Genomic DNA, 20,160 nt, shown 5'->3' on the forward strand with positions numbered 1-20,160 from the left:
GCAAACTGCATAAAATGATCTGTTACTTATTCTCATCTTGGATATGAGCTTCCAAAGAAATCATAGTCCACAAAAATAGGGCATTGTGGTATATTTTTATTAATCCTTCGGGCAGTCCTTTATTCTAAGATGATATCTTTCTACTTCTTAGTGTTTCTAAAATGAAAAATGATGGTAATTTTTAAAAATGACCTTAGTAAAGTTAGAAGTTGACAGTTTCTTGTGTCTAACATTTGGAGGAGAATGTTACTGGTTTATAACATTTTGAAGTCTGGGAACAATACGTCTAGGGGGAGATGAATAAACTGAAGTTTCCTCATTAGCTCATTTAAAGGCAGATAGATAGAAAGCAAGTATTAGAATCTCCTCCCAATCAGTAGATTTCTTCATCCTTCACAAAGTTTTGTTTGAGTGGAGTTACTGGAAGCCATGCTATGTGATACAACTGTAAAGTTAAATGCTCTAGTCACATTGTTAAATAGAACTCATTTTTGATCAAAAAGGGCTATTGACTTAAGAGATCTATCAGGTGACAGTTTGTATTATTGTGACACCCATGCCTGTAGTAATTTCATTACTCTTTGTGTCTGTGTTAAGAAAAGATAGACTCACAAGGTGAATGATTATCTTGGCATTTTAGTTACATCAGTGACACTTCCTCCTGTACATATGGGGAGATCAGATTTAATCTGATGCTTGGCACTCACTAAGGAAGAAAAAGGTCAGTTGGGTTACTGAGGGTTTTTGTTTTGTTTTGTTTTAGAAGCATCATTATAAAATTTATCATAGCAAGGAGAAGTATCCAAATTCAAATGGAATCATATTAGTGTCTTGGCACTGTCATCTTAATAAGTTCTTGCTGAATATATTTTTTCATTCGGCTGTTTACCACTGATCTTGAGTTAAGCCACCAAAGAAGGCCCCAATTGTGCTAGTTATCCAACTTTGCAAAAAAAAACAGCTTTTTTTTGAGACGGAGTCTCACTCTGTCACTCAGGCTGGAGTGCAGTGGTGCAATCTTGGCTCACTGCAAGCTCCGCCTCCCGGGTTCACGCCATTCTCCTGCCTTAGGCTCCCGAGTAGCTGGGACTACAGGCGCCGGCCACGACGCCCAGCTAATTTTTAGTATTTTTAGTAGAGACGGGGTTTCACCGTGTTAGCCAGGATGGTCTCGATCTCCTGACCTCGTGATCCACCCGCCTCGGCCTCCTAAAGCGCTGGGATTACAGGTATGAGCCACTGCGCCCGGCCACAAAAAACAACTTTTAATAAAATATTTTCCATTTTATTTCACCAATAATACTGTCTCATGATCCCCATGGATTTCCCTTATCTCTAATGTGAGATATTGTAAAAACCTTTTGTTCACCACACACACCTGTAATCCCAGCACTTTGGGAGGGTGAGGCAGGCGGATCGCTTGAGGTCAGGAGTTTGAGACTAGCGTGGCCCACGTGGTGAAACCTCTTCTGTACCAAAAATACAAAAATGAGCCGGGCATGGTGGTGTGCACCTGTGGTCCCAGCTACTCAGGAGGTTGAGGCAGGAGAATCGCTTGAAGCCAGGAGGTGGAGGTTACAGTGAGCCAAGACCAGACAACTGTACTCTGGCCTGGGCAGCAGAGTGAGACTCCGTCTCTAAAACAAAACAAAAAAAAACATTTTATTCATGTGTACGTTGCTTTAGAGTTTACAAAGGGCTTTCATGTTCTTTATCTCATGTGACTCTAACAACAACCTTTATTAGTAGACAGAGCGCATATTTTTTATTATTATGAATATTATTATTATTTTACAGATAAGGAAACTGAGAGGCTAAAAGACTTGGGTGAGGTTACACCATAAGTAAGTGTTGGAATGAAGACTTGAACCTAGGATCATTGACTTTAGTAGAGTTCAATGTTTCTCAAAATATTTTCTGTAGAAAACTAATCCCACAAGATATTTATGAGGACAATGCTCGTGGTCAAATGAGTTTGATATGTATGTCAATACAGTATGTTCCAGCTGGATGTTTACAGTACCTATTACCAATAAGACCAGTTTACCTTTGTTCAACCTGGTATTAATCAAGTTTGTTTGAATATAGAATCCCTTTTGAAAGCAACAACTTTAAATATCCTAAGAGATCAGTATTTCTTAAAGTACACTTTGGGAGAATGTTAGTGTAGTAACTTCTCCTATGCTATGCTACCCTAATCTTGCATGGGACTTTTCTGTATGGCACCTTGTACTTTAAACTTCCTACTCTATTGTAAAATCCTGTCTTCCTGAAGTACACCAAAATAATCCTATTGATCACTACATTGACAGCATATTGGTAATGTCTTAGAGGGAGAGCAAAGGCAGGATATTTTGGGTTCCTTGGGGCTCTGGCTTATGGTGGGTCTTTTCATTTGGGGGCTTATGCTTAGACAAATTTGTGGATAGGATCTGAAAGTGAATCTTGGCCAGGCACGGTAGCTCACGCCTGTAATCCCAGTGCTTTGGAAGGCCAAGTAATCCCGGCGCTTTTCGAGACCAGCCTGGCCAACATGGTGAAATCCGTCTCTACTAAAATTACAAAAATTAGCTAGATGTGGTGGCACATGCCTGTAGTCCTAACTACTTGGGAGGCTAAGGCTGGAGAATCGCTTGAACCCAAGAGGCAGAAGTTGGAGTGAGCCGAGATTGCACCACTGCACTCCAGCCTGGGCAACAAGAGTGAAACTCCATCTGAAAGGTAAAATAAAATAAAAATAAAGTGAATCTTGAGAAGTAGACATTCATTGCTGTATTCTGAGAAAGGAGTATATACTTTGATGAGGGTAAGTTCAGTAGTTTAGTGTTCAGATAAATGATTATGATATGTTCAGTAGTTGAGTGTTCAGATAAATGATTATGACTATGTCTTGAAATGAACAAATAAAATTATTTGCAGATTTACCTTCCTGGGTAAATTTCCTAGAATATTAATGCTATGTGAATGAAGACAGTTGTTGATATTGACGGTAAACTGTGTGGGTGCAGATGGTTTCAGCTTTTAGTGTATCCCCTTGTAACATAATATGAAATATATATTTGGTCTTTGCCCCCCAGTTCCTGACACAGAGTTCCTAAAACTCTTGCAATTTCCTTAGTGGTGGGGTGATAGGAGTATCTTTTTAAATCTTATTCCTTGTTCTTGACACAAGAGCTTCTCAGAAACTTGCGATCTCCGGAGTGAATGGTGAGTGTCTTTTAATATTTTCATGAAAAGAGTGGTGCTAAAAGCCCCTAAATATTATAGCTTCAGAATAGGGACTGGTTACCAGGGGAATCAACCTTGTGATTAGAAGACTGAAACTTCGAAGCTTTCTCCCGACCAGTGATTGAATTAATCATACCTATGTAATGGAACCTCCTTAAAAACCCTTAATAAAGGGGCTCGAGGAGTTTCTGGGTTGGTGAACACATGAAGGTGCAGGGAGGGTGGTATGCTTAGAGAGCACATGGAAACTTATATCCCTTCCCACATACCTTGCTGCCCAATACCTCTCTTCTCTGGCCATTCCTGAGTTGTATCCTTTATAATAAGCCAGAAATAATAAGCATTTCCTGAGTTCAGTGAACCATTCTAGTAAGTTATTGAACCTTAGGAGGGGTTCTTAGGAACTGCTGATTTATAGATGTCAGAAATATGGGAGGCTTGGATTTTTGATTGGCATTTGAAGTGGGGAAAGGGAGGCAGTCTTGTGGGAATGAGCCCTTAACCTGTGGGGTCTGCACTGTCTCTGTACAGTCAGTGTCAGAATTAAATTGTAGGACACCCTGTTGGTATCCACAGAGAACTGGAGAATTGCTTGGTGTGGAAAGCTTCTATACATTTGATGTCAGAAGTGTGAATATAGAGGAAACAGTTTTTCCTTTTCACCCCCTTATTGCCATTCTTTGGCCTGAGCTGATGGATTCACTACTGGGGATGTGATCAGTCTAGATCTTCTCTGCTATATATAGTCTCTTAGTCATGTATCATTTCCCAGATGGTTGTTTCAACATTCAAGTGTTAGGTTTTTCTGTTCTTTTTGTTGGATGATCATTTGTTTAATCATGTGGTAAGACAACAGTTGGACAGCAGCATTTAAAACTTGAGGACACACCATCTGAGCCCCTGTAAATAAAATATACCAAGAGAAGGATTATGATCAGTTTGTTGTCTTCCTCTAAGCCGTGACTCAAGAGTGTCCAAATTAAGCTAGAAGAACAGATTTTATCTCCTATATAATGAGGAGATGCAGTACCAGGTATGGGATTATTAGTCAAATCATAAAGTTAATTAATTTTATGATTTTTTGGTTAGCTTACCAGATCTTTTTAGTATTGTTAAAGATGCCAGAGACATCTGCAGGGCTATAAGCATACCATTTCCCCCTAAAACAGCACGTTTTCTCTCAAGACACCAATATTATAATTAATGGGCTCTTTTTGAGTTCCATTTTCTGAACCTCTTGGGCAAAGAGTTCTGTAGTTGTGGTAGCATTGTTTATTATAGCTTTCCTGCTTTTCTCTGAACCATAGCATGCCGGAGACTCTCTACCTCTAGGCCTCTTATAAAGTGAAGAGGATTGAAGACAGCAGAAAGCAATCCAGAATTTGAGTGATTAGGGTTTCGATTCTCAAACCAAGACCCACTTTTTCTCCTTTCATGAAGCTATCTCTTTTTCTAAGAGGGTAAATTGATGAATCAAAACAGATCTTGGATGATAACAGGGACTATCCTGAGGTTAGTTAGGAGTTTACCAAAGTAACAAGCCTCTGTCCGATTTGCAGGTAGTAGCCAGTAGGTTTTTGTGTTACAAATCCACTCACTGGTGGCCACTCAGTCGTCTGTTTTTGGTCAAAATACTCCTGTGGTTATTGTCAAATCCTTTTGCTATGCTCTAGGGCCACTTATGAAGAGTGGTCTGGCTCCAGGCAGTGAAATTTATGGTGTCAAGACTATTAATTTGGTTGTTCTAAAGTGAAAGAGAAGTAGTGTGTTTTACTTGTCAGATCGGGTAAAGTGAGATAGTCTCCAAATATGCATAATCTGTTCCCTAGTTCTCTTTCAAGCTTTCTATCTGTGAAAGTTTGTGTACAAAAGCTAGCTCCCACAAAAGGTCCCAAAGGTCTCAAGCATAGTTTTGGTGGAGACAGGAACATTTTGTTGTTTTGTTTTGGTTTTTGATAGGCTATTTATCCTTGTATTTTACCCAGAAAATCATTTGATCTCATTACAAGGAAATGGAACCAACGGAAGCTGGGTGGCTCCTCCAAAAGGAAAATGTATATAATCCCAACTCTCAGTTTGAGTGTATGCTTTATTTAGCTAATTCATGAGTAAATTGTTTCTTTCAGAAGACCAAGTCTTTGGGTTTCAGGTTGTATGAAGTTTGTTTGGGAGGATTTGGGGGAAAGGCTGCTCATACCTATTGATAAGACTGGATGTTTAGCATGAGTTCCTTGTAATACTTGGTCCTGTCTGCTTGCCAGTTGTGTCTGGAGTCTAGAATCAGATGTAATATTCCTAGATGCCTGGGCAGGCCTGTATTTACTCATAAAGCAAGAGTTGATAGACTCCAGTGGACTCATTAAAGCTTATGGGAATATCTTAGACCGTAGAACTTTGAGAGTCTCTGGGAACTTTGCAAAATTGAGATTCAGAGTTATATTTATTCTTTACCTTTCTTGGATATTGGGGCAATATAGATAGGGAACTTTCTGATTAAGTGGAGGGGCCTTGCAAAGCTCTTTAATAACAATCCTAGAAAAATTGGGACCCCTGCCACTAGAGAGATGTTTGAATTCCACAGGTTGGCAATATGACATCAGATAATATTTTTTCTACCATAGAGCCATAGCTCCCTAGCAAGGAAAGGCTTAGTCTATCCTGAGAATAAGCAAACAGTGGACAGGACATATTAAAAACTCACTGCAGGATGTACTTGTATGAATCCATTTGGAGGTGCACAAAGAGGACCTTTGTGGTTTTGGGGTTTCATGGGTGCTAGGAGCTTAGCAAAAGATGCCTGTCTTCCATAGTGACCAGCCAGAACACCTTGTTTAGCATTTGTGTTATCCCTTTTTGGGATGAATTTCAACCTTGATAATAACTACCACCTTAGGAAGTATTAGAGCACTTAAAAGTTGTTTTAATCTGCCAATCTTAATTGGATTTCCTGCTGATGTCAAAATCCTGTATTGTAGCCAAAGCATTCTAAAATCATGGACTACCTGCAAAAGCATATCCGCTATAAGTGTATATATTAAGCTCCTTTATTGCTAAATAACCAACAAGCTAAGCAATAGGATTTCATAGGAGGTAAGCCCACTTGCGAGAAATGTGTGTTTCCAGAAAGCAACAAAGGTTGTATAACATGGGACACCTTCAAGACTACCATCAGAACTGTAGACTTGGTTTTAGGGACACCGTTAAACTTGATGATGCCTCATACTATACAACTTGCAGGCTTTATAAGGGCAGAAGGTTTTACCAGTAGTAAAGAGAAAGATTGTAGTAAGCCATTGGCATCTAGAAATTCATATGGGCTTGAGTCAGAACATTAAAAGCTTGTTCAGATCTTTCTTGTACAAATAGGCACAATGAATAGGCACAATGATTTATGATGAGAAAACCCAGAATATGATGTTGGTGAAGAGCACAACTTGGCTGTTTTATCACAGAAATAGCCATGACAGTATGTAAATGAATGAGTGTTGCTATATTACAGTAATACTTTATTTACAAAACAGGTGGCTAGACATGGGCCTTACAATGAAATGTATTTTCTCTTTCTGAAGAATTTACTCCTTTAACATTTATTGTGGTTACTGATACATTTGCAGTCATTTCTACCGTCTTACGTTGTGCTTTGTAATTGTCCTATTGTTTATATACATACTTTTTCTCTTGAATTGTTGGAGAATTTTTTTTCCAATTTTTTAATTAAAACTTTTTTTAGAATTCCATTTTCCCCCTTATTGAAAATGATGCCATTTTAATTTTTTCGTGGATCTCTTAAAGTTCTAACAAGCATATTAATCACTATTTTTGCCTACCTCCTAATTTACATGCTATTGTTTTAATTCTCTCTATATATAAAATATATATTTGTTTAAAATATATATTTTAAATTATATATTATAATTTATATATATATTTATATATATTTTAAATTATATATTATAATTTATATATATATTTAAATATATATATATATTTGTTTTGGTTTTGTTTTGAGATGGAGTCTTGCTCTGTCACCCAGGCTGGGGTGCAGTGGCGTGATCTCAGCTCACTGCAACCTCCGCCTCCTGGGTTCAAGTGATCTTCCTGCCTCAGCCTCCCGAGTAGCTGGGATTACAGGTGCCCAATACCACACCTGGATGATTTTTGTATATATATATGTATTTTTTTTTTTGAGACAGAGTTTCACTCTTGTTGCCCAGGCTGGAGTACTGTGGTGCTATCTCGGCTCACTGCAACCTCCACCTCCTGTGTTCAAGCGATTCTCCCACCTCAGCCTCCTGAGTAGCTGGGATTGCAGGCACCCGCCATCTCACCCCGCTAAATTTTGTATTTTTAGTAGAGATGGGGTTTCACCATGTTGGCCAGGCTCGTCTCAAACTGCTGACCTCAGGTGATCCTGCTGTCTTGGCCTCCCGAAGTGCTGGGATTACAGGCATATATTTTCAGTAGAGATGGGGTATCACCATGTTGCTCAGCTGGTTCTCAAACTCCTGACGTCAAGTGATCCTCCTGCCTCAGCCTCCCAAAGTGCTGGGATTACAGGTGTGAGCCACCACACCTGAGCCTAATTCTCTATTTTAACCCCACAATTTAGGTATTACTATTGTTGGTGCCTTATGCAGTCAATATTAGTCTAGATTCCCCTACTTATTTTGCATTTATTATGCTCATCATTGGTTCTTGCATCATGGACCTTCTTTTTGGGCTCATTTTACTTCTTTCTGGAGCAGACCCTCTGAAGTTTTGAAGCCAGTCATTAAACTAACTTTTTTATATGCAGTCTGTCTTTTGTTGTTCTGTAGTGTCTAGGTGTAATTTTTTTATTCAGTCTTTTTAGGATTCATCAGGATTCTTGAATCTGAAGATTTTTGGCTTTCAACAGTTTTAGAAATGTTTCCACTATTATGTCTTTGAATATTGCCTCATTCCTGTATTCTCTACTAATTTCTTATTAGAGGTATGTTAAACATTCTCCCCCTGTCCCCAATATTGATTAATTTTTCTTTTATATTTTTCATCTCTTTATTACTCTTTATCCTAAACAATTTCTTTAGAACTAGCTTCAAGTTTATTATTTCTTCAACCATGCCTAATCTTTCATCTCTTTATTGAGTTTCTAAATTCAATGATATATTTTAAATTTATAGATGCTCTACATATGATGAAATCTGCCTCTCCATACTTAAAGTACTATCTTTTTATATTTAAATATGTTCAATGAAATTATATTCTTTATTTCTGTATATGTAGTCACGGTGAGTCTGATAGGGTTGTTGGTGTTCTGCTGAGTGTCAGTCATGTTAATTTGTCTCCTCTTGTGTGTACAGGTTTTTGAGCTTAACTTGGTTTGTCATCTGTATAAATTTTTGGAGACCAGACTTCAAGGTGTGTTCCTCTAGGATTTGTACTTATTTCTACCAGTCACTTGGAGGTGTTTTAAATTCTCACCTTGGGGTTTTTCATACCTAAGGGTTATACAAATTTTGCCTTGGTGTGCAGGGCCAGTTTGTGGATAGAAACTCATGGAGGAAATTTTTTTCTCTTTCTTTTCCAGAGCCAAGGCAAAATAGGCACATTTTTTTTTGTTTGTTTTGCTATCTCCGTCTCTGGGGGATATTTCCTGGTTCCACTGAGGGAGTTGCTGGTGGGTCTCATCTGACCTCTCTCTTGCTAGGCTTTTCCTCCAGTGCCTCTGTTTGTATAAAGACCAATGAACTAAAAGACCCAGTCCATCAGTGACCAGCAGAAACTCCGTGGTAGCTGTTAGCTCTTAGACTTGGCTGCTTCACTGGATTCACGTTTTTCTTCATTTTTAGCTTTGAGGAGATTCTCAAATGCCCAGCTGTGAATTTAAGGAGATTTAAAAATTTTTTACCCAGAACTTTTAGGCATCTGTCCTAGGAGTTTTTCTCAAATTATTCACTCCACTAAATTACCTGAAACAGAAGTACTCCTCTGTTTTTTTTAATTTTTTTTTGTTTTTTTAATTTTTTTTTGAGACAGCCTCTCACTCTGTCACCCAGACTGCAGTGGTGCAATCTTGCCTCACTGCAACCTCTGCCCCCAAGGCTCAAGCGATCCTCCCATCTCATATGAGTAGCTGGGATCTCAGGCACGCACCATCACACCTGGCTATTGTTTTGTATTTTTAGTAGAGACGGTGTCTCACTACATTTCCCAGGCTAGTCTCAAACCCCCGAGCTCAAGTGATCTACCCGCCTCGGCTTCCCAATGTGCTGGGATTACAGGCATGAGCCACTGTGCTGGGCCTACTCCTCTGTTCTTTTTGTATTTTTGGTGTATACTTCAAAAAATCTTTTCGCTATGACTTTAGCGGTGTTTTGGAAAATTAAAGATTAACAAAAAGCTTTTATTATTGAAGGTCGTTCAAATATTGGGGCCCTCTTTATACTAAAGCACAGGGATGATGTTGTCACAAACACAATTGAGTTTAAGGTTATAGCTGCATCCAGAAATTAAGTGTGATGCTTTTTTCCTCCCTTTTACTATCGATTATTAAGTTACTTGGGTTTGGCAGCTCAGTCTGTGTGTGTTAGGGTGTGTTCTTATATCATTTCACTCATTTAAACTATTATAACCAATAGCTTCAATTGATACATTTTACTCACTTTAGTAAAAATTTAAAATGCTATAAAATAAGTATTGCAAAGTTATAAATGTCGGGACTTCTGGATATGCTTTCCATAATGTTAGTCTTAAAAGGCAAGAGAGTGACCTTTTTATGGGGCAGAAGATAAATTGCAGAGAAAATGCTTGAAAGCTATCATCTGAAGATCTTATTTAGATAAAACTGTAAGTTGTGCAGCAGAGGACAATATAGTTTATTAAGCTGGTAAAAATAAAATTTCTTTTACCTTGAAAAGGGCACGTTTGTAATGAGTTTTATACCTAATTTAGGACTGACTCAGCAACAAATTCTCAATCAGTATGGTAAAGTACAAACCTTATTTATTTGGGTTGAACAATAGAGTAGGGAGTTCTGAACCTGTGATCTGGGTTTCATAGGACCTAAGATCCCTGAAATTATGTGAAGTTTTGCAAATATATTTATATTCATGCATTTTCCTGGGACCAACCCTCCTTGGCCCTCACTCCCGCTTTGGCCGGATACACTTGTGCATTGTTTGAATTATATGGTGCTCCTGGCCTTACTGAAGTGGGGTTTACTATTTGAGAAAACATTTTAGAAAATGTTAAGTTTGCATCTCATAGTTTGAGAAACTGTAAAAGATAAATGGAAACAACATGATTTGACATATTGAGGAAACATGCCTTATGGGTTTGGGATTTAGAAACTCAAGTCGTCCTTACCAGGTGCATTAAATATGGAGGTGAGGAAAGTGAACTCATCTGAGTCAAACAGTGTTTTTATCCTTTTCATTTACACTAAAATCCTTTGTGTATGTGTTTACCGTACTTTGGAGGGGACATTCACTCCAGGAGAAGAAGCCCTTTTGCCCAATTATTACTGGTTGAGGGTGTCCCGGTTCTTGGTGTCTTGAACAAAGAATTGGACAAAATGCACAAAGCAAGGAAAGAATGAAGCAGCACAGGCAGAGATTTACTGAAAATGATACCACACTCCACAGGTTGGGAGCAGGCCTGAGCAAGCGGCTCAAGGGCCCAGTTACAGAATTTTCTGGGATTTAAATACCCTGTAGATGCTTCCATTGGTTACTTGATGTATGCCCTATGTAAATGAACAGGCTAAAGTGAAGTTACAAAGTTATTTACTCTGTGTATGCCCTATGTAAATGAAGAGGATATTTCCTGTCTTAGGTGGAGTGTTTCCATTTGATTTAGTTCTAGGAAGTCCTTAGGTTCCCTGCCTCCAGGCCCTATTCTCCTGCCTCACAATTATCCTCAAAACCTTGCCTGATTCCTTGAAGCAGATTTAAGACACACTATGCTTAGTGGTTGACTATTTCCAGCTGATTTTTCAGAGTAGCAAGGAACTTGGAAACTGGCTATCTGTAGTCTTACTTTATAATTCCTATTTTTTTTCTTAAGTAGCTAATAGATTTTTTTTTTAAAAAAGAACAAACATCATAAAGCAAACCTGGGGAGAAAAAAAGCAACAAAAAGTTTTGTGTGCAAATTACAAAATAATATGATTGCAATTGGTTTAAGTTGTTAGGCAGCTGTTTTGTCAAAAACTAACAATAGGGCTGAATTTATTTTTGTTAACAAATTAGAGTTTTGCTTTGATTGTGTTTCTTTTAGGCTTTTCTGCTTTTTTCTTCCTCGCATAAATGAACCAAATATTTTCTCTCTGATATTCCACAAGAGAAATCTCTCACTTAAAAAAAAAATTGTAGGACTTGTCTTTCATATAAAAAAAATCTGAAATACATCTTTTTCTGTTCCAGGTCAAAATGATTTCATTTTTCATCTTTGTTGTTGACTAATGGTAGACTTCTTGTAGGAGCTTACATGCATAAGAAGTTTTTGAGCAGTGCTCATGAAGTCTTTTGTTAGCCTTTTTTTCTATGTGGCATAAAGTAAACCCAACCTGATTTGGTTCCTGAGCTCTCTTCATGGGCAAAGAATGCCATCTTTGCTTGTTCTATCTGGAATGATTGGCCTATATCTGGTATAGATGGTTCACTGTTTAGAATTCTCATTTGCAGACATTTTTATGAGTATTTTGTGAATTTAATAATGTACTCCCACTGATTGGTATCTGTTCCATATTTGTCCTTGACAAGTTTGTCCTGAAACTTGTCCTTAAGGGCAAGCTTGTATCTTTTTCTTGGCTTGAGTCTCTATCATCCTCTTCCCACTTCCTACAACCCCCTACCGTCCTCCAAAGCAGAACAAGCTTGCACAACTTGTGGCCTGCCGGCCCCATGAGGCCCAGGGCAGCTTTGAATGTGGCCCAACACCAATTCCTAAACTTTCTTAAAACATTATGAGATTTTTTAAAATTTATTTTTATTTTTTAGCTTATCAGCTATCAGTAGTGTTAGTGTATTTTATGTGTGGCCCAAGACAATTCTTCCACGTGGCCCAGGGAAGCCAAAAGATTGGACATCCCCTGATCTAGAACAAAGGCTAATGAGCAAGAAGTTTACTTGGTAGTGATCCCATTGTGCTAAAGTGAGGGATCAGGGGAATTGAACAGGAAATGGCGGTGGTGGTGGGTGGGGTATACTGTGATGTATTATTGAGCTGTTAAATTGGATGACTGATACTCAATGTTTATGGAATCTTCTTTTAAATGTGTCTCAGAACTGTTTGCTTGGGGAACAAAAGGAAGAAACATGTATCTATTGACATCTGTCTGCTATTGCTTAAGTCTGTCCAGGCAAGCATTAACTCCAAGGAGTGAGACCAAAAGGATTTGCGCCTCTCATTTGTGGTACTTAAGAGATGTCCAATAAAATTTTGTGTACTTATTAGGACCAAGCTCAAATCTATGTGCATTCAGACTACTTTACTGACTTGAAAGTTATAGCTCTGAAAATAGAAAAAGCACAAGTAGCACATTATTATTTCTATTTTTCCCAAATCTGCTAAACAAATAGGTTATATTTTATGGTGTTTTAAGCAAAATGTTGTTCTGGTTTCTGGTGTCCAACATTCTTCCTACATAATTTATACGTTAATATCTGTAGAACTTCAGTAACAGTAAGCTCTTCCACATGGCCACTCCCTTCAGAAATGTACCACATGGCAATGTTTTCACCTTATGGAACCACTTTTTTTTTTTTTTTTTTGAGATGGAGTCTCGCTCTGTCCCCCAGGCTGGAGTGCAGTGGCACGATCTCGGCTCACTGCAACCTCTGCCTCCCAGGTTCAAGTGATTCTCCTGCCTCAGCCTCCTGAGTAGCTGGAATTACAGGTGTGCGCCACCACGCCCAGCTAATTTTTGTATTTTTAGTAGAGACGGGGTTTCACCATGTTGGTCAGGCTGGTTTCGAACTCTTTATGTCGTGATCCACCTGCCTCGGCCTCCTAAAGTGCTGGGATTACAGGTGTGAGCTACCATGCCCGGCTGAAACCACTTTTTTCCCTTAGCTTTAAAAAAACTTTTACTTGGAAATATGTATAGACTTACAGAAAAGACTTCTAAAAATAAGGAAATTAACATTGACATCATAAACTAATCTGCAAACAATTCAAACTCTAACAATTTCCCTACTAATGTACTTCTTCTGGTCTGGGATCTAACCAGAATTCCACAATACATTTAGTTGTCATGTCTCTGTAGTCTCTGTAATCAGTCTTTGTCCTTCATGACCTTGACACTTTTGGAGAGCGCTGGTCAGTTATTGTCTAGACCGTCCCTCTGTTGGGGTTTGTTTGTTGTTTCCTCATGATTAGAGTGAGATTATGCATTTTTTGCAATAATGCCACAGAAATGATGGTATGCCCTTCTCAGGGCATGATGTCAGGGAGTACATGATTTCAAATGTCTTATTACTGGTGATGTTTACTTTTTTTTGAGACAGAGTCTCACTCTTACCCAGGCTGGAGTGCAGTGGCAGGATCTCGGCTCACTGCAACCTCCACCTCCTGGGTTCAAGCAATTCTCTTGCCTCAGCCACCAGAATTACAGATGTGTGCCACCATACCCAGCTAATTTTTTTTTATTTTTCATAGAGACGGGGTTTCACCATGTTGGCCAGGCTGGTCTCGAACTCCTGATCTCAAATGATCTGCCCACCTCAGCCTCCCAAAGTGCTGGGATTACAGGCGTGAGCCACTGTGCCTAGCCTAGGTGATGTTTACTTTGCTCACTTTACTTAGATAGTGTTTGTCAGGTTTCTGCACTATAAGGTGACTATTTTTCCCTTTGTAATTAATAAGTACCTTTTAGGGAGATACTTTGACACTATGGAAATATCCTGTTTCTCATACTTTTGTCCACTAATTTTAGCATCCATTGATGGTTCCCTGCAACAGTTATTAGCTATGATATTTGCTTAGTAGTGATTATTTATTTCCATCATTTCTTCCACTTTGAATTCCACTTTCAAATTTATTAATTTGAAACGCTAATTTATTTTTTATCAATTTGGACTTACGGGCATAATCTATTACTATCATTATATATATTATTGCTCAAAATGTTTCCACCTAAGCCATTAAGAGGTCCCTCTAGTTAGCTCCTATATCCTTTTTTAGCTACCCCTGTCATTTTTTGAGCACTCCTTTTTGGCATCAGAAGCTGTTCCAGGCTCATCTATATTTTATGTTCTAAGCCTGAAATCAACTGTTTCTCCAAGGAGCGTTGGTTCCTTATATTATAGACTGGTATTTAGAAACCAAGATCATAGAGCTAGATGTGCTTACTGCTTCTCAGAAGACATTGGAAATGTATGTATGTGTATTAACCCATGTATACACACATATATAGTTCTTTTGGTTTTTCTTTTTGTAATAGTCAAAATACTTACGATAGCTCTTTCTATCTCACCCTCTTCATTTGTCATGTTATTCGTCTGCGGTACAATTACGTTCACTGGTTACTGTTTATTCTATTTTGGGTTGTCCTCCTCACATCCTGGTTTATTTATTTTGGGGGTATGTAAAACATTGTATGATTTTAAGAGTCAGAATTATTTTAAAAGGTATACTTAGAAAGGTTTTACTCCTCCTTTATGACTATTACTCTGTTTCTTTTTCCCATTCCCTTCTGCCCTGTTCCCACTTACTCTTAACCAGTCTCATTAATTTATGATTTATTCTTTTTTTTTCTTTTTTCTTTTTTTTGAGATGGAGTCTCACTGTTGTTGCCCAGGCTGAAGTGGAATGGCATGATCTTGGCTCACTGAAACGTCTGCCTCCCAGGTTCAAGTGATTCTCCTGCCTCAGCCTCCCAAATAGCTGGGATTACAGGCACCTGCCACCATGCCTGGCTAATTTTTTGTATTTTTAAAACACAAAACATTTTTAGTAGAGATGGGGTTTCACTTTGTTGGCCAGGCTGGTCTCGAACTCCTGACCTCATGATCCGCCTGCCTCGGCCTCCCAAAGTGCTGGGATTACAGGCGTGAGCCTCCACACCTGGCCAGTTTATTCTTTTGTACAAATGAATATACATATGAAAGAAAAATATATATATATTTACATTCCTTTCTGTTTTTCATGAAAGGTAGCATACTATAGATACTCTTTCACATTTTGCATTTTAAATTTAATGTGTCCTGGAAATCACTCAATATAAGTTCATAGAGATCTTCATTCTTCTTTATAGCTGTATAGTATCCCATTGTGTTGGATACATTGTAGTTTATTCAACCACTCTTACATATGAACATTGAGCATCTAGGTCGCTTCCAATATTTCGTAATTACAATGCTGTAGTGGATAACCTTGTGCATATTAATTTTGTATTGTTGGAGGTTTAACTTCAGAGTAGATTCGTAGAAGTAGAATTGCCAGGACGAAAGCTAAATGCATCCATAATTTTTACTAAGGGTTGTTAAATTTCCTTCCAGGAGGGCTCTACCAATCTTCATTCTCACCAGCAGTGTTCAAGAATATTCTCCCACAGCCTTGATAACAGAATATATTGTCATACTTTTTAATTTTTGCCAATCTGATAAAGAAGAAATGGTATCTCAGTGTTGTTTTAATGTCCATTTTTCTTTTTTTTTTTTTAATTTTTGTGACAGAGTGTTATTCTGTTGCCCAGGCTGGAGTGCAGTGGCATGATGCAGCTTTGAACTCCTGGACTCACGTGATCCCCTATCTCAGCCTCCCAAATAGCGGGGACTACAGATGTGCACCACCACACTCTGCTAATTTTTAAAATTTTTTCTGTAAACGTAGGGTCTTGCTACGTTGCCCAGGCTGGTCTCAAACTCCTGGGCTCGTGCAATCCTCCTCCCTCAGCCTCCCAAAAGACTGTGATTACAGGTGTGAGCTACCATGCCTGGCTGCATTTTTGTAACTATAACATTTTTTTTCATATATTTAAGGGCCATTTTGTGTATTTCATTTTATATATTTTTGGTTCACTTGTCTGTTGATATCGGGTTTTTGGTCCTTTCTCCCTTGATATTCAAAAGCTCTTTACATATTAGGGGAATGTCTGTTGCAAATATTTTCTCCTAGTTTGTCAGTTGTCTTTTGACTTTGTTTATGGTAATGATGGTGTTGCTGTTTTACCATGTGTTATATTTCATTTTTATGTGGTCAAATTATCTTTTTTTGCCTCTATTTTAAGTCAGTCTCTACACTGAGATCAGAGAGTAATTTACTCATGGTTTCTTCCAGTAATTGTATAATTTTATTTTTTGTACTTGGGTCTCTGGTACATTTGGAGTTTATTCTTTTGTACGGCATGAAATGCAGATCTAATTTTATTTCATTTTTTTCCAACTGGCTACCCAGTTGTCCTGACACCATTTATTAAAAAGTACATCTTTGCCCCAGTGGCTTGAGATGCCACTTTCATCACATGCTAAATTGGACGGAATCACCTGTAAAGTTCCCTTTTTGCTATTTTTACTTTGTCATGGTGTGATTTGTCTTTTGCTATCTGTTCATTGCCTGTGGTGACAAATGTTTGTTCTGAAAGAATAGTTAATTATTGCAGCAATAATCTTGAAAGCTAAAGCAATTTACCGTCTGGCTCTGTGTTTATAAAACACTGTTACCCAAATTGAACCCACAGCTCTGAGATATTACTCCTTCTGTCTAAATGTTATCAGTGTCTGTTCTATTGTAAAATCATTAGGCTGAAATGAAGCTTTTTAAAATTAGTCTCAGTTCTACTTTGGAACCATTGTACTGAAACCTTGGAGAACAGTCTTATGAGAACTGGCTTTATTCATGTTTATTGTCTTTGACTCCTGGACTTGTTTCCTTCATTCAGCTGCTGGATCTAGGTAGACAAATTGTTATACCAGGCTATTGTCAGAGTAGATTCATTAGAATAATAAGGTAATTTAACTTTCATGTGCACCTATATCCAGAGTACAAAGTTGCCTGGCAAGAATGATGTCCTCATTAAAATTCAGAAAACCTCAAACAAAGTCCAGCCATTATTCTTCTAAAATGAATTTACATGTGAAGGAACACCATCTTACAGAATCCTCCTGTTTTCAGAATAAATAATTAGCTCTTTAGAGAAATAGATTAATAAAAGCAATGCAATATTGTACCATTTCTCCATCTTATAAGGCCAGTCTTAAGTATTTGATTAGTGCCATAGAGCTGACTTTGCTTGCAAAGCACCCCCATTTCTTGGGCTTCAAATGTCAGAGTATGTGGAAAGTGCCAGAGGAATTTTAATTCATTTCCTTTATTTTGTCTCTCTCTTAAAATACTTATTTCAAAGTGATGAAGAAAGGTGCAGGTAAAAATGAAGCCATGGCTTCTATTACGGTTTTTTTCTTTACAGTCACGTTATTCATACCTTTGCCCTCTAGAGGGAGCAAGAAGGTTATAGTTGTTAAGTAGTCATAGTTCCTGAAAAAACTCCAATCTTACCTCCCTTACCTCCCCAACCCAGATGGAAATTTGTTTCAGTAGGTGGGGCTATTTCCTTGGAAATAGTATTATTTATTTCACTCCTCAAGCTCCCCACTGTGGTCCTTTTCCTCCATTAAGGTAGAGAGACCTGTAAATTCTTTTCTCCCGATTCCTACCAGCAACAAAAATGTTAGAGAACATGGCCAAAGACTAAACCATAGTTTAATTTGACTAGTTAGAGAACCAACCCTCCAGGTGGCTTCTGGGCTGAAAAGTTGATGTATCACAAGATCCTTCGTTGATAGAAAAGTCCAAGCTATTAGAAAATGCTGTTTCTCATTGGTCTCCTGCTTCACAGGAAGCTTTCTCCGTGACGACTGGTCCCAAATAAACACTTAACAACTTTCTCTGAAACAAAATCCTGTACAATAATGATGACCTAATTTCAACGTATACATTTTCTCTCTCTTGTGGTTATTGGTAAATTCAAGATGGGTTTGTGGCGCCTGATTCTGGATCTTAAATGTTATGCTGAATCTGAGAGCTTGGCTTGAGGAGGTTTGGGAGTGGTTGGGTTTTTTCTTCTTTGGCCTGACATGGGCTGGCCTATGGAGGATTTCAGCCCCGGTGCCTTCCATGCACAGAAGAAACCTTTCTTCATACTCTACAGTGGGCTTGACGTACCATCTGTATGCTGCTGATTCCCAAATTTTTATCCTCATCTCTGACCTCTCATCAGAGTGGCCTGTTTCATATTACTTGAATATCTCATTGGAATTTCAAATTTAATAAGTTCAAAACAGAATCCCTGACTTTTCCCACTGCACACCAGTTTCTTGCCCAGGATTCCCCATTTCTGTAAAAATGGACAACCAACTGTCTATTACTGACTTATGAGTCATTTTTGGTTCCTCAGCTTTCTTCACCCCTACCATCTAATCCATCAGCCAATTCTGCTGATTCTACCTCCAAAATATTTCCTCATCCTGCCTCCTTTTACTTATCTCTCCTACTCTCTACTCCACTTCCAACAGGTATCAAGCTATGGTTATTTCTCACCCAGAACATTAGGATAGGTTCTTAGCAGATGTAATGATGGCCATGGTTTGGAACAATTTCATGTGCTTTTCTCTTTTTCCTGAATATATCTGCCTCTGAGATGAGATAAATGAATGCAAACTAAAAGGAAGAGTTAAGATTTGGCTTGTGACATTCAAAAACGGGGTTCTGCAGAAAGACAGTAGGCTTAAAAACTAGTCCGTGTAGGGAGAGAAAAGATTTTTAAATGTTTTTATTTTTTATTTTCGTAGCAAGGAGTAGGCCTGGAAAATTAGACTGTAAATTTCTATGATAACATATATTAATAGAATGTTTATTCTATTCACCATTAATGCTCTGCACTCATTGAGGCTGCAGTTCAGAAGATGATGACTATGATAATGAAGGCTGCACTCCAGCCTGAATAGATTTTTGGAGGAGGAAGACAGAAGGGGGTCAGAAGAGGTAGATGGTGAGTTCAGCACTCTGATCTTCCTTCTGGTCTCAACCCTGGAGAGTGGGAAGTCTGTTAAATTCCTAAAGGGAAATGGGGCAGAGAGGTTCCTTCCTTGCTTCCAGCCTGGAACACTGGGAAGAGATCACCTGGAAGCTCCTTGAGGGACCTTCTTGGCAAACCTGGAGGGTGACCACATGAAATCAATTCAGAGATGTGGTCAGAGAGAGTGATGGTCTAATTTGCATCCCCAGTACTTCCTCTGTTCTCCCAAGACATGAATGCAGACTTGAGAGCTGACAAGGCCTACACAGGCCTGTTGAGATAGGGGATTTACAGAGACTTAAAGGGGTTTGTAATGCCCGTGAGAGCTGAAATGAATGAGGCTGTCATACAGGGAGTCACTGGGTCCAACTGAGCTGAGAGGGAGCATAGACCAAGATGCCTGCCAGCTGCAGCCTCAGCCATAGCCCCTAATGACACCATTGAGGGCTAATCACAAGGGGAATAAGGCACATTGCTGGGGAGCCAAAAGACCCTGCATGGTTTTGAGGACTTTTACCCCCAATCTGCAAGGTCATGTACACTTCTTTGCCCAGCACTGTCCTGGGGGCCAGGGATGTTGCTGAAATCTAGAGACTAAGTATGTTTAACCAAAGTGGCCGAGTTTTACCTAAAAGAAAGATTTAAATTATTGTATTGATCTAAATGTTATCCCCTGCTTTTTTGTTTTTCTATAGTGCATAGGAGCTAGCAAGCAAGAATAGATCAGATCTAGGCGAAGCAGAAGTGTAATTTCTCTGCACATGTGAGTTCTGGGGTGAGTGCTGCACTGGTTGCTTCCTGCCCCCACCCTTACCACTACTGTAGTACACACACAGCAGGCAAAGTGGTCTTTAAAAGTGAGATCTGGTTCTATGTCCTATCCCAACCTTCTAAAAAACTTCCTGTTGGGCACAGAATTAAATACCAGCACC

The sequence above is a fragment of the Homo sapiens genome, chromosome 14 (genome assembly GCF_000001405.40).
Source record: "Homo sapiens chromosome 14, GRCh38.p14 Primary Assembly".
Taxonomy (NCBI): domain Eukaryota; kingdom Metazoa; phylum Chordata; class Mammalia; order Primates; family Hominidae; genus Homo; species Homo sapiens.